This window comes from Homo sapiens, chromosome 2 (genome assembly GCF_000001405.40).
Source record: "Homo sapiens chromosome 2, GRCh38.p14 Primary Assembly".
In the NCBI taxonomy this organism is placed as follows: Eukaryota; Metazoa; Chordata; class Mammalia; order Primates; family Hominidae; genus Homo; species Homo sapiens.
The window spans coordinates 188,263,943-188,278,082 of NC_000002.12; the positions used below are offsets into that span (position 1 = coordinate 188,263,943).

Sequence of the window (14,140 nt, forward strand, 5' to 3'; positions counted from 1 at the left end):
CCGTCTCAAAAAAAAAAAAAAAAAAATGAGTAAAAAGAACAAAGCTAGAGGCATCACACTACCAGACTTTAAAATGTACTGCAAATCTATAGTAATCAAAACAGCATGTTACTATTATAGCATATGGACACATACAGAAATGAAACTTAATAGAGAGCTCATAAATAAATCCATGCATTTGAAATCAACTGATTTTTGACAAAGGCACCAATAACACACAATAGGGAAAAGACTTTCTTCAGTAAATAACGTTGGGACAACTGGATATCCATATGTAGAAGAATGAAACTAGACCTTTTTTTCCACACCAAATACAAAAATCAACTCAAAATTGATTAAAGACTTAAATGTAAGATCTGAAACTGTAAAACTACTAGAAAGGAACATGGGGAACAGCTCCATGACATTGGTATGGGAAATACATTTTTGGATATGAACGCAAAAGCACAGGGAACAAAAACAAAAATAGGCAAATGGGATTATATCAAACTAAAAAACTTCTGCACACTCAAGGAAAATATCAACAGAGTGAAGAGGCAACATACAGATTGAGAGAAACTATTTGCAAACCATACCTCTGATAAGAGATTAATATCCAAAATATATAAGAAACTCAATATTACTTTTAGAAAACCAAATAATTAATTTTTAAAATGGGCAAAGGTCTTGAGTAGACATTTCTCAAAAGAAGACATACAAATGGGCAGCAGGTATACGAAAAATATGCTAAACACCACTAATCATCAGAAAAATGTAAATTAAAACCACAAGACAGATGACGGGTTGACAGGTGCAGCAAACCACCATGGCACATGTATACATATGTAACAAACCTGCATGTTCTGCACATGTATCCCAGAACTTAAAATAAAATAAAAAATTTTAAAAAGCAAGATATCATCTCATACTTGTTAAGATGGCTATTATCAAAATACAAAAGACAATAAATGTTGACAAGGTTGTGGTGAGAAGGAAACCACTGTACAGTGATGCGGATAATGTAAATTAGTGTAGCCACTATAGAAAACAGTATGAAGCTTCCTCCAAAAATTGAAAATAAAACTACCGTATGATCCAGTAATCTCACTATTGGGTATGTATTTAAAGAAAATGAAATCAGTATGTGAAAGATACCTGAACTCTCATTTTCATTGCAGCATTATTTATGACAGCCAAAATATGTATCAACGTATGACTAGATAAAGGAAATGTGAGATATATACGTATAACAGACATACAATGGAATACCATTGTACATATAATAGACATATATTGTATATTGGATACATATAAAGGAATATCATCCAGCTTTAAAAAGAAGGAATTCCTGACATTTGAGAAAACATGGATGAACTTGGAGAACATTACATTAAGTGAAATAAGCCAAGCACAGAAAGACAAATACAGCATGATCTCACTTATATATGGAATCTAAAAAAGTTAAATTCATAGAAGTAGAGAGTAGAATGGTGGTTACCAGAGGCTGGGGTGAGGGGTGAGGGGTGAGGGTGGGGAGATGTTGGTTAAAGGATACAAAATTTCAGTTATATAGAAGGAGTAAGTTCAAGAGTGCTATTGTGCAACATGATGACTGTAGTTAATAACAATATATTATATTCTCAAAAAATGCTAAGAGAGTAGATGTTGTGTTGTCACCACAAATGTGATAAGTGTGTGAGGCAATGCATATGTTCATTAGCTCAGTGTAGCCATTCTGCAATGTATACGTATTTCAAAACGGCATATTGTACATGATCAATACATAAAATTTTTATCTGTCAATTAAATAACAATCATAATAGCTATAGAAAATACAAATACAATAAACATTCTTGCCAAGAAGCTTATAAAACCACCCACAAAGTTAACAAATATAGTTTACGAAGGGAAAATAAAAACAAAATAGTATATCTATGCTCCAGAAAGTTCATTCTTATATTTTGTTTTATGAGGATATTTTAAAAATGCAATCAGAAAAATATAATATCTAATTCTGTGTTAAAGTTGAATGTGCCCATATAAAGAATTAAAAGTGAACATTTTTCTACTTAAAATCATAGTGCATTCCACTTTACCTATCTGCTCTCAGTTTCATTCTCCAACTTTTCCTCCTTTTTATCTATATCAGAGGAAACTAAATTTTCCAGAACCCCTTGCCCACTGGCTTTCAACTAGTGCCAACCAATGGGACACACTCAATAGAAATAGGAAGGCAGGATAAAATGAGAAGTCAAGGTTTTTCACTCCACAGTTTTTCCCTGTAGCTCTCTACCTCTACTGTTATGTCCAGCGATGGCCAGTTTTTCTCAGTGGCTCCATTACCCACCAAACAACCCTTTACTGCATGAATGGAGGTCTGTTGTGTAGTGTACTTCCAGCTTCTCCCAGGTAGTCCTGGCTTCTAAGATCCAGTAAGGTGGTCTTCTGGGTTTCTTCTTTCAGCATAATCATGGTAACAACTTCCTGCCATTACAGATTTCTGGATCGTCTTATCCTTTGTTTGGCTTTTTTAGCTCTAATTTCAACTGTGTCAACATTCTCTTTGTTAAATTCTGTTTGAAATCCAAAAGTGGCTTCTGTTTCTCTGACTTGATTCCAATGGATACATCAGCATTGCCAAAAACAAAAAAAACAATAACTGAACCTGCATTGCAATTATAGAACCTGTACAAATGACAAGCATAAAATATGTGGTCAATAAAATATAAAACTCTTTCTTTGGGAGCTCTTATTCAATTCAAGGGAGGGGCCAACTTTCCCAGACCCTTTCATTATCTGCACCTACACTCATTGTGAATGTCATTAATTTATTTCTTCACTCATTGTATTAGGGTTCTCTAGAGGAATAGAATTAATGGGATATATATATGTGTATATATATATGTACATATATACATGTATATACATATATACATATATATGTGTGTGTACATATATATATATATGTACACACACACACACACACATATATATATGTAAAGGGGAGTTTATTAAGTATTAACTCACACGATCACAAGGTCCCACAATAGGACGTCTGCAGGCTGAGGAGCAAGGAGAGCCAGTCCAAGTTCCAAAACTGAAGAACTTGGAGTCCAATGTTCAAGGGCAGGAAGCATCAAACATTGGAGTCTCTCTTTCATGGGAGAAAGGTGTAGGCTGGGAGGCTAGGCCAGTCTCTCTTTTCACATTTTTCTGCCTGCTTATATTCTAGCTGCATTGGCAACTGATTAGATTGTGCCCACCCATATTAAGGGTGGGTCTGCCTTTCCCAGCCCACTGACTCAAATGTTAATCTCCTTTGGCAACACCCACACAGACACACCCAGCATTAATACTTTGTATCCTTCAATCCAATCAAGTTTACACTCAGTATTAACCATCATACTCATCTATTCATTCATTCCATAAAATATTTAATGAGAAACCACCTTGTCCTTGAATAATTTCCTGAGGATATAGAAATGAACAAAACAAAGTTGCTGCTCTTACCATCTTTGGAAGTAGAACTTTCTAAAGTGTTATCAAAAAATGAAGTAATGTAATGCTTATTTGTCTTTAAAATTAATGAAATCAAATTAACAATAGCTATTTTATTAGTGAAGGTTAGCAAAAAAAGTATAATTATTCTATAATTGGGATTTCAAATTTAGCATGACCATTCCTAGTTGGAGTAGACAGTTAGAATTTTTCATTTCCAGCAAGAAGTTCTTCTTTACTATGGTGTATTTCAGTACATGACCAAAAACTTGTTTCACTAAAAGTACAAAGTTAAATTTCCACACTTGTTGTCACAGGAGTTTCAGTTTACTAAAAAGAACTGCTGCCTTTTGATATCATAACCTGTGCATGAAGCATTCTCATTCTTTTAATAGAATGACCCCTCATCTATTAGTATAGTAGGTAACATTAGAACTCAGAGATACTCATCGCAGATATTCATGTCAGTTTAAAGCTGCTGGAAAAAATATAATTACACATATTTATAATAAAGATGATTTTTATTCATTGTTTTTATTTGCCACCTTGCATTTTTTTCTATAAAGTGGCTTATTAATACCACTAGTCATACAAACTACTTCACTCAGTTGAATTTTAAACAACATTATGATTTTTAGCTTTGAATATAGTCTATTTGATTATTTGTTTATGACACCGTTATTATGTGTTTTACTCCAATGTGCTTTCACTTTATTTTTTGGACACCATGTGTAAATTTCAAGAGAGAAACAGTGTGATAGCTCAAAAGTGATATTTGACAAGTTTTGCATTCTAGCACCCTACAATATTTAGTAGCCTTGTGATATTAAAAAAATGTTTGATGTGGGAACGCTTTAAAGTGCCTTTAAGATTTCAGACTTCATTATACCCTGTTTTATGAGAAAAACACCAAAATAATAAAAAAGTAGTTCCTCAAGACATAGCTATCTAGCTGAGAAAATATTTTTGGAGTACTTATGCATAAGACATTGCTGTGTTCAGTTTATTTTTCTTTATGGTATTTTTATGCATTCAATATATACTTTGCTTCCACTTTAGTTTCACCATATTAGTTGCTATTGGATACAAAAGTGAATCAGATAAAATTACTATCCTCAAGAATTACCTACTCAGGGGGAGGACCAGACATTAACATAAAGTGTTACTTTTGTAAAAATGGTATGTAAAAGGCAAAGTGTTGGCACAAAAAAGAACGAGGAAGTTTGCATGGGGAAAGTGAGGAGATAGAGATATGTATCATCATTAAAACCTCCATAGAAACTTAACTGTGATCTTTGTGGTAGGCTTTGACATGCAATTTTACTCAAAAGGGCATAAATATATGAAGTAACCAAACAGCATGATATGTCTGGGTCATATAAGCGGCTTTTTATTAATAGACCAAAATGGAAGCAAAAACGGCGGCGAAGTTCAGGGTGAAATATCATGGAATTCTTATAGCATCCTTCCTGTCTTTTTTAGTTAGGAATCTTTTGGCTTCAAAAACCAGAATCTCTAAACTCCATAAGCTGTATATTGAAAATGACTTCATTTCATCATGTAACTGAAATACCCAGGGCTAATATCAGAAGAAGAATCTGAGACTAGATCCAGATGACCTCATTTATTAAAGGCAGTATTTTAGCAATCATATAAAATTGCTGGAGATTCAGGTGATGTACAAAAGGATTTAAGGGAATTAATCAGCTTACCCTAGGCTTCTTACGACTATGTGGGACTGAGAGACAATGTGGACACCATTGCCTCAGCAAGAGCACAGTCACTGGTGAGGAAACCAGGGAGATCTGATTAGCCATGCTCTCTGAACAGCCACTAAGCTGATTTCTTTCATTATCCTTTGCTGCCTTTATATGCTTTGAGGTTATAAATGTAAAATCTAACTTCTAAAAGAGTTGAAGTGTTCATTAAAGTGTTCATTTTCACAATGTGTCAAAGCTAGTGCTCTCTATGAGATTAATTCGCTTCTCAAGAAAATTTAAAATGCCATTACCTTTTCTATCACTCAAGGGACAGATGAAGAAGCATGAACAAATTTAGTAACATTTTTATTAAGACCAACTAACTAGCATCTTCATTTGTTACAATATTTTCTCTACATCCCATATACAAATTGTGTATATTATATATTTTATGACTGACATTTGGAGTCCATAAATTTGCTACACAAATTAATGTGCAAAAGCTCTTATCTTAATTTTGTGCAAAAGTCATCTTAATTATGTTATAACCACTTTAGAAGATAGGCTATATTGTTATAATTTCCTAACCGTAGCCTCTACTACAAAGGTATTTATTTTTTCATCAATTACATAGAGAGTATATACTGAGTCAGACAATGTTCCAATTGTTAGAAAGAGAAAGATGATTCGAACACTATTTCTTATCACAAATTTCAGATTAAATGTTTAGCACTACTGCTTACCACAAGTTAATATTAAAGCAAGAGTCATATTATAACGAGTTTACTGAAGTGCAGTCAAAGAAAGACTATGGTTAGCGTATGAAAAAGTAGATCACACAGAAAGAAAGAAATGTTATTCTATGGTAGAGGAGGAAATTCTCAGGACAATGTCACAGATTAGCTTCTTTAGACCAAATAACGTAATATAAATTAGAGTTTAGAGAGGAAGGAAAATAACACTTCAGTATCTCTTTCTCTCTCTCTCCCTCTCTCTCTCATATATCTATTTAGTGTGGATCTGCGGATTACATTTTCTTTCAGATTCTTTTTATCCAGAAAAAAATGATTTCCCTTTTTCTTTTTGAAGATAATTTTACTAGTATAGGATTCTATGTTGAAATCATTTTATTTCAGCACTATTAAGATGTCATTCCATTATACCCTGATTTCCATAATTTTTGCTAAAAAATCATGTGTACTTTTTTGTTGCTCTTTTAAAGATAATGTGCCTTCTACCCCCTTAATACTTTTAAAAGTCAACTTTGGAATTTTGTTTCCATTTGTTTTCATATAATTGTCCAAATGAGGTTTTTTTTAAAAAAAAAAATTCTAAATGAGTTTAGCAAACTTCTCAAATCAGTTTTGGAAAATGTCAACTAGTATTGTTTCAAATACTGCATTTCCTCTGCTCTCCTAAAATCACAATGCTAGTAAGTTCATAGAGTTAGGATTTGATTACAACTAAGATAATATGAGTTTATTCGCTATATATTTTTTTATTTTTATTTTTATTTTATTTTTTGGAGACAGAGTCTTGCTCTGTTGCCCAGGCTGGAGTGCAGTGGTTCGATCTCGGCTCACTGAATCCTCTGCCTCCCGGGTTCAAGTGATTGTTCTGCCTCAGCCTCCCAAGTAACTGGGACTACAGGCACACGCCACCACACCTGGCTAATTTTTGTATTTTTAGTAGAGACAGGGTTTCACCATATTGGCCAGGCTGGTCTTGAACTCCTGACCTCATGATCTGACTGCCTCGGCCTCCCGAAGTGCTGGGATTACAGGTGTGAGCAACTGTGCCTGGCCTTTGTTATATTTTTAACTTCTATGCTAAAAATATACAATGACCTTCTCTATGTCTGCATTTGTTCAAAAGATTCAGTTTTGTTTAAAATTTTCTCAAATATTTTCTTTAAATTGTATTTTAAGGTATCTTCAAACAAAGCAACGAGTTCAAAAACAATCTTTATTTTATTTAAATCGATATTTTTTCCAAAAAACTCAAGATATGTGCTAAATATGTGGGCTGTGTGTGTGCGTGTGCGTGTGTGTGTGTGTGTGTGTTCAATTTATTAACTGCTGCAGATATGTTAGAATGGGATTTTCCTATTTAAGTAGCATTTCCTGACTTTGACATTAGTATCTTTTTATCTACATATAAGAATTTTACAAATTGTATTTGAAGTCCTTCCTACATTACTCCTGATGACTTTTATTTTAAACAGGTTCTCATTTTCTAAGAGGGTGTTTTTAATATACCGTCTCATTATATGACCCAGAAGTTTATAACAGACTTAGTGTTTCTATCATATACTATTTAAGAAAATGATTTTAAATATAGAAAACGGGAAAGATTTCTATTTGTATCATTACATAGAAAAATCACAATATAATATTAATAGAGAATTATTATTTGTTCCAAGATGTATTAAGACAAAGAAGAAAATGAATAATTATTTTTAGACTAGTATTTGAATTAACAAAGTATTATGCTAATAGATTCTATGTATTATACACTAATATATCTGGAAAAAATAAAATAATATCCAAAATATTTTCAAATATTTAGATTTCTGCTGAGTGATAATGCCATTTCTTTTAAGCATTTTATACAGTTTTTGGTGTATTTAGTGTCCAATTTCTCAATGAGGGATTAATTATTCGAACATGAAAATATTTTGTCAAATTTTAAGATTGTGTTTAGTTGAAACCAGAGGGTGCCATGCAATAAGAAGAATGAAAAAATAAGCTTAAATATTTTGACAATTGCAAATGTGAGAATGTTTTCTTACCAAAAACAAAGTGGCAAAATTTCAATGTTTAATTTTATTTGGAAAAGAGTAAATTATCTTACTGAATTATCGTAATTATATAAATTCCTACATGCAGTCTCTAATTTGATGTTTACTTATCAGTTTTATCATAAATAATTAGTTTCTGTACCAAAATCCTTCATATTTAAAATATAGATGCCAATTAAAGTTGTAGAATTTTTTTGACTATTATTTATGGAAAGAATTTGTAGACCTTATCTATTAAATTACACTTTTAAGTGGTATTTTTCTAAAGAATATATTTTGTGCTGATTCTAATCATTGTATCATATGATTGAAATAACTTACCTATTTCAGTTGAGAATCTAATGAATCAAGTCTGTATGACTCATTTAATTTTGAAAACATTGAGTTGTGTCATAATCTTGGGACCTTGGCTCCAACGTATCCTATAACCTCATTAGAACAGAGGCTTAACCAAGGCTGGGAGCAGAATGGCTAAATGGAATGTTTTGCTGGCCATTATGGGTGCAGTCAGCAATTCAAATAATTATATTTAAAAGATAACTAAAGAATTAACAAGTACATCAATACTTTTAATTATTGACGTATTAATTCCAACTACTGGAAACAAGGGCAGAAACCAAATACAGGATGGAAAATGTGAGCTGTTACCCAGAATAACCAGAGAAATATTGGGCCTGAATGTAGTCCCCAACCACTAGATACAAAGTGCATCTTCCTATAAGAGGAAAGAAGTGTTTTAGTTCAGAGCAATCTGGCTAGATAGAATTGAGATCTCAATGAAAGGAATATTTAATTCCACTAGGCGAAAATATAAACTGTTAACAGAAGAAAAAGAAAACATAATGGCAGAACAAGAATCATGAACAACAAAGAGTAGATTTGAAAAAAAAAATAGAAATTCTGAAAATAAAAAATATAGATACTGCAATTTAATACTACATTGATAGTTAAAACAGAAAACATGATGTGACAAGAACGAATTATTTAATTAAAAGATAGAGAATGCTGCAAATATAAGACAGTATTTAAATGGAGAAGGTTAATATATGATTAAAAAAAAAAGAGTTCCAGAAAAAGAACAGAGATATACAGGACAAAATGATAAATAAAATTGTTTTCCATGTAATTGATAAGCTGATCCCAAATGTAAATGGAAAAGCAGAGTCTAATCTAGACAAGACAAACTTGTAGAAAAGTAGAATAAATAAGAGGAGGAGAAGATGAGCTTAAAAAGGAATAAAAAACCTGTAATCCCAGCACTTTGGGAGGCCGAGGCAGACAGATCACGAGGTCATGAGATGGAGACCATCCTAGCTAACACAGTGAACCGCGTCTTTACTAAAAATACACAAAATTAGCCGGGCATGGTGGCGGGCATCTGTAGTCCCAGCTACTCTGGGGCTGAGGCAGGAGAATGGTGTGAACCTGGGAGGAGGAGTTTGCAGTGAGCCGAGATCCTGTCACTGAGCTCCAGCCTGGGCGACAAAGCGAGACACTGTCTCAAAAAAAAAGGAAAAAAAGGGAATAAAAAAGAAAAAGTAGAATTTTAAAAGAGAAGAAAAGGAGGAAGAGAAAGAAAACAGGCAATTTCTATTTAAAGATAAGTTTATGGTAATTAAAACAGTGTAGTATTGATAAATGAAAAAATAAGCAAACAATAGAACAGAATAAAGCACATAGAATCAGATCCACAAATATGACACTGTAGTATGTAAGTTACAGGGAATTACATACTACTGGAGAAGAAGTGACTCCGCTTAATGGCACTAGAATAACTGGGTATCCAAATGAATAAAAAGAAAATTTAGAATCTTATTTCAGATCAGACATAAAAATTCATCCCAGGTAGGCTAACACACAGAACTTTAAGGCATTTAAAACTGTTTGGATATTTTAATTTTTTTAAGTTGCTAAAAGATACAGCATCAAAAATCTATTTTATAAGCATCACTTTATTCCATCCCATGTGACTTCAAATCATTCTCTAACAAAACTTTTTTATATGCATGCATGCATGCTTTTCTTGTTTTTTAAATTGTAAACTAGTTATTAAAATATACATTCTAAAATTCTCCACTTTTAAATTAATTGAGTAACTTTTTCATTATTCAACATTTAAAATATCAAATAAGGGTAGCTTACATGTGTTGGTTACAGCTACAAGTCTTTAAACTTTTTCAAATGATACATTGGATAATATATTTATGTTTTAAAAAACTTGATTTCTTTCACCATCTATCATTTTCATGTGGGAGATCAGATGCAACACTGGAGGCAGAACTCAGACACCAGACCAAATTGAGGACTAGCTAAAACATGGCCAGGGAAGAAGTAGCTCTCCATAAGACATATATGCCAGTGTGCCATGCCAGTTCATTGCCATTGCAACACCTGGAAGTTACTGCCCCTTTCCATGGCAATGACCTGGCGATCTGGATGTTACCAGCCCTTTCCTAGAAATTTCTGTATAATCCACCTCTTAGTCTGCATGTAATTAAAAGTGGATATAAATATGACTGCAGAATTGCCATTCAGCTGCTACTCTGAGCACACTGCCTGCAGGGTAGCTCTGCTGTACAAGGAGCAGTATCTCTGCTGCTGCTGTACATTGCCACTTCAATAAAAGTTCCTGTTTAACACCACCAGCTTGCCCCTGAATTCTTTCCTGTGTGAAGCCAGGACCCTCCCTAGCTAAGCCTCAATTTTGGGACTTGCCTGCCCTGCATCAATTCTAAAGCGTTACATTTTTGGATATATTCTTTAAGAACACCCTTAAATCTTCATATAAATACTTGCATCTTCCTCTCATCCCTGTCTTCACAAAGAAATCTCTTTTTATGGTCTCCTTGTGAGCTTCTTTGCTATTTTCAAATGCCATGTATTTTGGTTATCTGTTGCTGTAAACAATCTCCCCCAAAACTGAGTGGATTAAAACAATAATTATTTAATTATCACTTAAAATACTCTTGGTAAGACATCTGAACAAGGCATAGTGGGTTTGGATGGTCTCAGCTTTATATAATGTCTGCTGGGCAGAATTAATACATGATTTACCAGGCCAGTGCAAAAAGAAGAAGTTGGACTTGTTCATAAATTATTAAGTATTTCAATTTAGTGATAGCAGAGCATTAAGCCAAGCACAGAAACCTTAAAGCATAGGAGCCTTCCGTGTAACTGCTCAGGTCACACATCTATAAAGCCTGCCCTGCTGCTGGTCATAAAACATTCACAATGGCTTTTACATCACATGCCTGATACCCCAGCTAGGATGGTTCAAAAAACTGGAGGCTGGTTAGCATGGCTTAACTTGGATCATACGTCTGGGATTTTGTCCTTACTGTCAGCTGGGTTTCTTGGTTCTGCTATATAGTTGTAGGACATTTTCCTCTTCACACAGCATCCCCACCTGGCCTGTCACCCTGGTTGAGGCTTCTCATATTCTGGATGCTGGGTTCTAAGAGGAAGAAGGTGAAAGCCACCTGTACTTTTTAAACCTGCACTTAGAAGTTCTCTGCATTTTATGCAGTAAAGCACTTCACATAGACAGCCAAGATTCAAAGAGAGGGTAAATAAACTATGTATTGATGTGCAAAGCAGAAAAGTGATGTGAAAGAGAAGGAATTTGGGGGACTATCATGTTACTTGCATAATATGAAATATGAGAAGTACTATTTAAAAAATAGTCACAGAACTCAGCATTTGAATGCAGATCTGTTTCATTTCAAAGTCCACATTCTTTCCACGACTACAAACTTTCTCTCAAGAATTAGGGGCTAGATTTTATTTTAAGATTCATATCAGGCCAGAAGGGGTGGCTCACACCTGTAATCCCAGCACTTTGGGAGGCCAAGGCAGGTGGATCACGAGGTCAAGAGTTTGAGACCAGGCTGGCCAATATGGTGAAACACCATCTCTACTGAAAACACAAAAATTAGCCGGGCATGGTCGTGCTCCCCTGTAGTCCCAACTACTCAGGAGGCTGAGGCAGGAGAATTGCTTGAACCTGGGAGACGGAGGTTACAGTGAGCTGAGATCCACCACTGCACTCCAGCCTGGGTGACAGAGAGAGACTCGTCTTAAAAAAAAGGAATCAAATCAGAATATAAAGGCACATTGTTATGGATTTTTTTTCAGAATCACAGTATACAAAACATACACTCACCAAATTTAATTAATGTGCAATAACCTGATGTTTTCGATTGGAACGATAAGAATTTTTTATTTTTTTTTAAGGCAGAGTTTCACTCTTGTTGCCCAGGGTGGAGTGCAATGGCCTGATCTCAGCCCACCGCAACCTCCGCCTCCCAGGTTCAAGTGATTCTCCTGCCTCAGCCTCCCGAGTAGCTGAGATCACAGGCATGCGCCACCACACCCGCCTAATTTTGCATTTTAGTAGAAACGGAGTTTCTCCATGTTGCTCAGGTTGGTCTTGAACTCCCGACCTCAGGTGATCTGCCTGCCTCGGCCTCCCAAAGTGCTGGGATTTACAGGCATGAGCCACCGCGCCTGGCGGAACTATAGGAATTTATCCATAACTTGACTAAGAAGGAAATGGTGAAATCTTCCCTTTCACCTTCTGACGCTTCACTGACAATCAGTGAACAAAAGGCAGATTTAGAGGAGAAAGGACATACAAATTTATTAATGTGCAAATAAGGCAAACAAAGGAATGTTAGATAACAACTTCATCCTGTACTTTGGGAAAGACAAAGGATTGAGGACAAAAGTGGGGGTGATTCTCAGAGAGATCTTGAGGCCTCTTCCTCAGTTCAGCATGTCAAAGCACCATATTTTGCGGTATCAGTTTCTGAGCCCCAACAACCCCTAATTTCTGAACTCCCATCCAAGTACTAACCAGGCACCACCCTGCTTGGCTTCCACGATCAGACGAGATCGGGCGTGTTCAGGGTGGTATGGCTGTAGACTAATTTCTGAACTAAAAGTGGGAAACATTGCTTTCATAATAGTAAGTGATTTCTGTAAAATTAGAATGACACTGTAATATTTCTATAATTTTTCTCACTTAAATAATATAACCTAGAAATTAGAAAACTACACTAAATTAAAAAGAAGAAAAATTGTATAAAATTTAGGAAGTGCAGACAATTATCAAATATTTAAATAATTTTTATTTCTACCACCCAGACTATCCACTAATAACATTCTATGCATACTTTGCATTACTTTTTTTTGTCATCACCATTGTATACATAGTATAAAAATAAAGGTTAGAAACATCTCTATTATATTAATCATTATCACCTTCCCCCTTATATAAATTACACTCTTTATCTATATCATTATGTTTATTTGCAATTCCTTTCTCATTTATCTATGATTTCCATGTCTTGGCCAAATGTTACCTGTTTTAATATAGGCATTAAAACACCTCATCTCCTGTTTTAGAGTAAATTATGGTTCTAGAGTCAAATTATTTGGTGGTTAATGGAATATAGAATATGAAACAGTAAAGGAAGCAGCATTATCTGAAATAGAAGAAAACTGAGGGAAACGTACTATCCCAAACCTCTAAAACAATCCTACTAGATTTTAAGTTGTTTCTTCCCAAATACTAACAACATCGTAACTTTCTTGAAAGTTAAAAAAAAAGAGAGAGATGTATCCATAATTTACCTGTGGGTCTAAAATAATTAACGGTTCATTGAAATTTTTGAAATTAATAGTTAAAATTACAATTATAACTTATGTTTATAGTTGAGACATCACTTTCTTGCCTTCAATAATATTTTTCTTTTTTGTTTTCCTGAGACTTTGGAATTTGAGATTCAAGTAGAATTCTGATTAATTTTCAAATCAAAATTGGAATATTTTAAAACATAAAGCTCCTAATACAGTGTGATAGGCCGCCTCTAATTTAATGTCTCTTGACTATTTTCCACTGCTACTCATATAAACTGTTTCAATGAGGCTCTGTGAAAACGATGTCTAACAGAACAACCGTATTTATAGAACAGAGTTTTCAGATTTTTTTGTGTGTCAATACATGCTGTGTGTCCTTAAACATACCCTGTATAAGTTCCAAGTGGAGTCATGCTCTGTCATAACAACCAGTCCAATTTTCCATTATATAAAAAAGTTAATTATGTATCTGTATTCTGAAGCAAACGTAAACGAGATGTGTAGCTGTATGAGAATTATTTCT

At 34.2% G+C, this 14,140-nt stretch overlaps 1 long non-coding RNA gene and 1 pseudogene across 1 annotated transcript in view, besides 1 other annotated feature; both read right to left on the bottom strand.

The window, feature by feature from the left end:
• The window catches only part of LINC01090 (long intergenic non-protein coding RNA 1090), a 252,096-nt gene that overhangs the window by 228,347 nt on the left and 9,609 nt on the right, over positions 1 to 14,140 (bottom strand). The gene's annotated exons all lie outside the window — the stretch shown is intronic.
• Positions 12,400 to 12,694: a silencer, noted in NCBI's record as "tiled region #8723; HepG2 Repressive non-DNase unmatched - State 21:Repr, and K562 Repressive non-DNase unmatched - State 15:Elon". NCBI's record gives its function as "represses a minimal TATA promoter and a strong SV40 promoter by Sharpr-MPRA in HepG2 and K562 cells {active_cell/tissue: HepG2 | K562}" and the evidence as "EXISTENCE:reporter gene assay evidence [ECO:0000049][PMID:27701403]".
• RNA5SP114 (RNA, 5S ribosomal pseudogene 114) lies at positions 12,790 to 12,902 on the bottom strand (annotated as a pseudogene).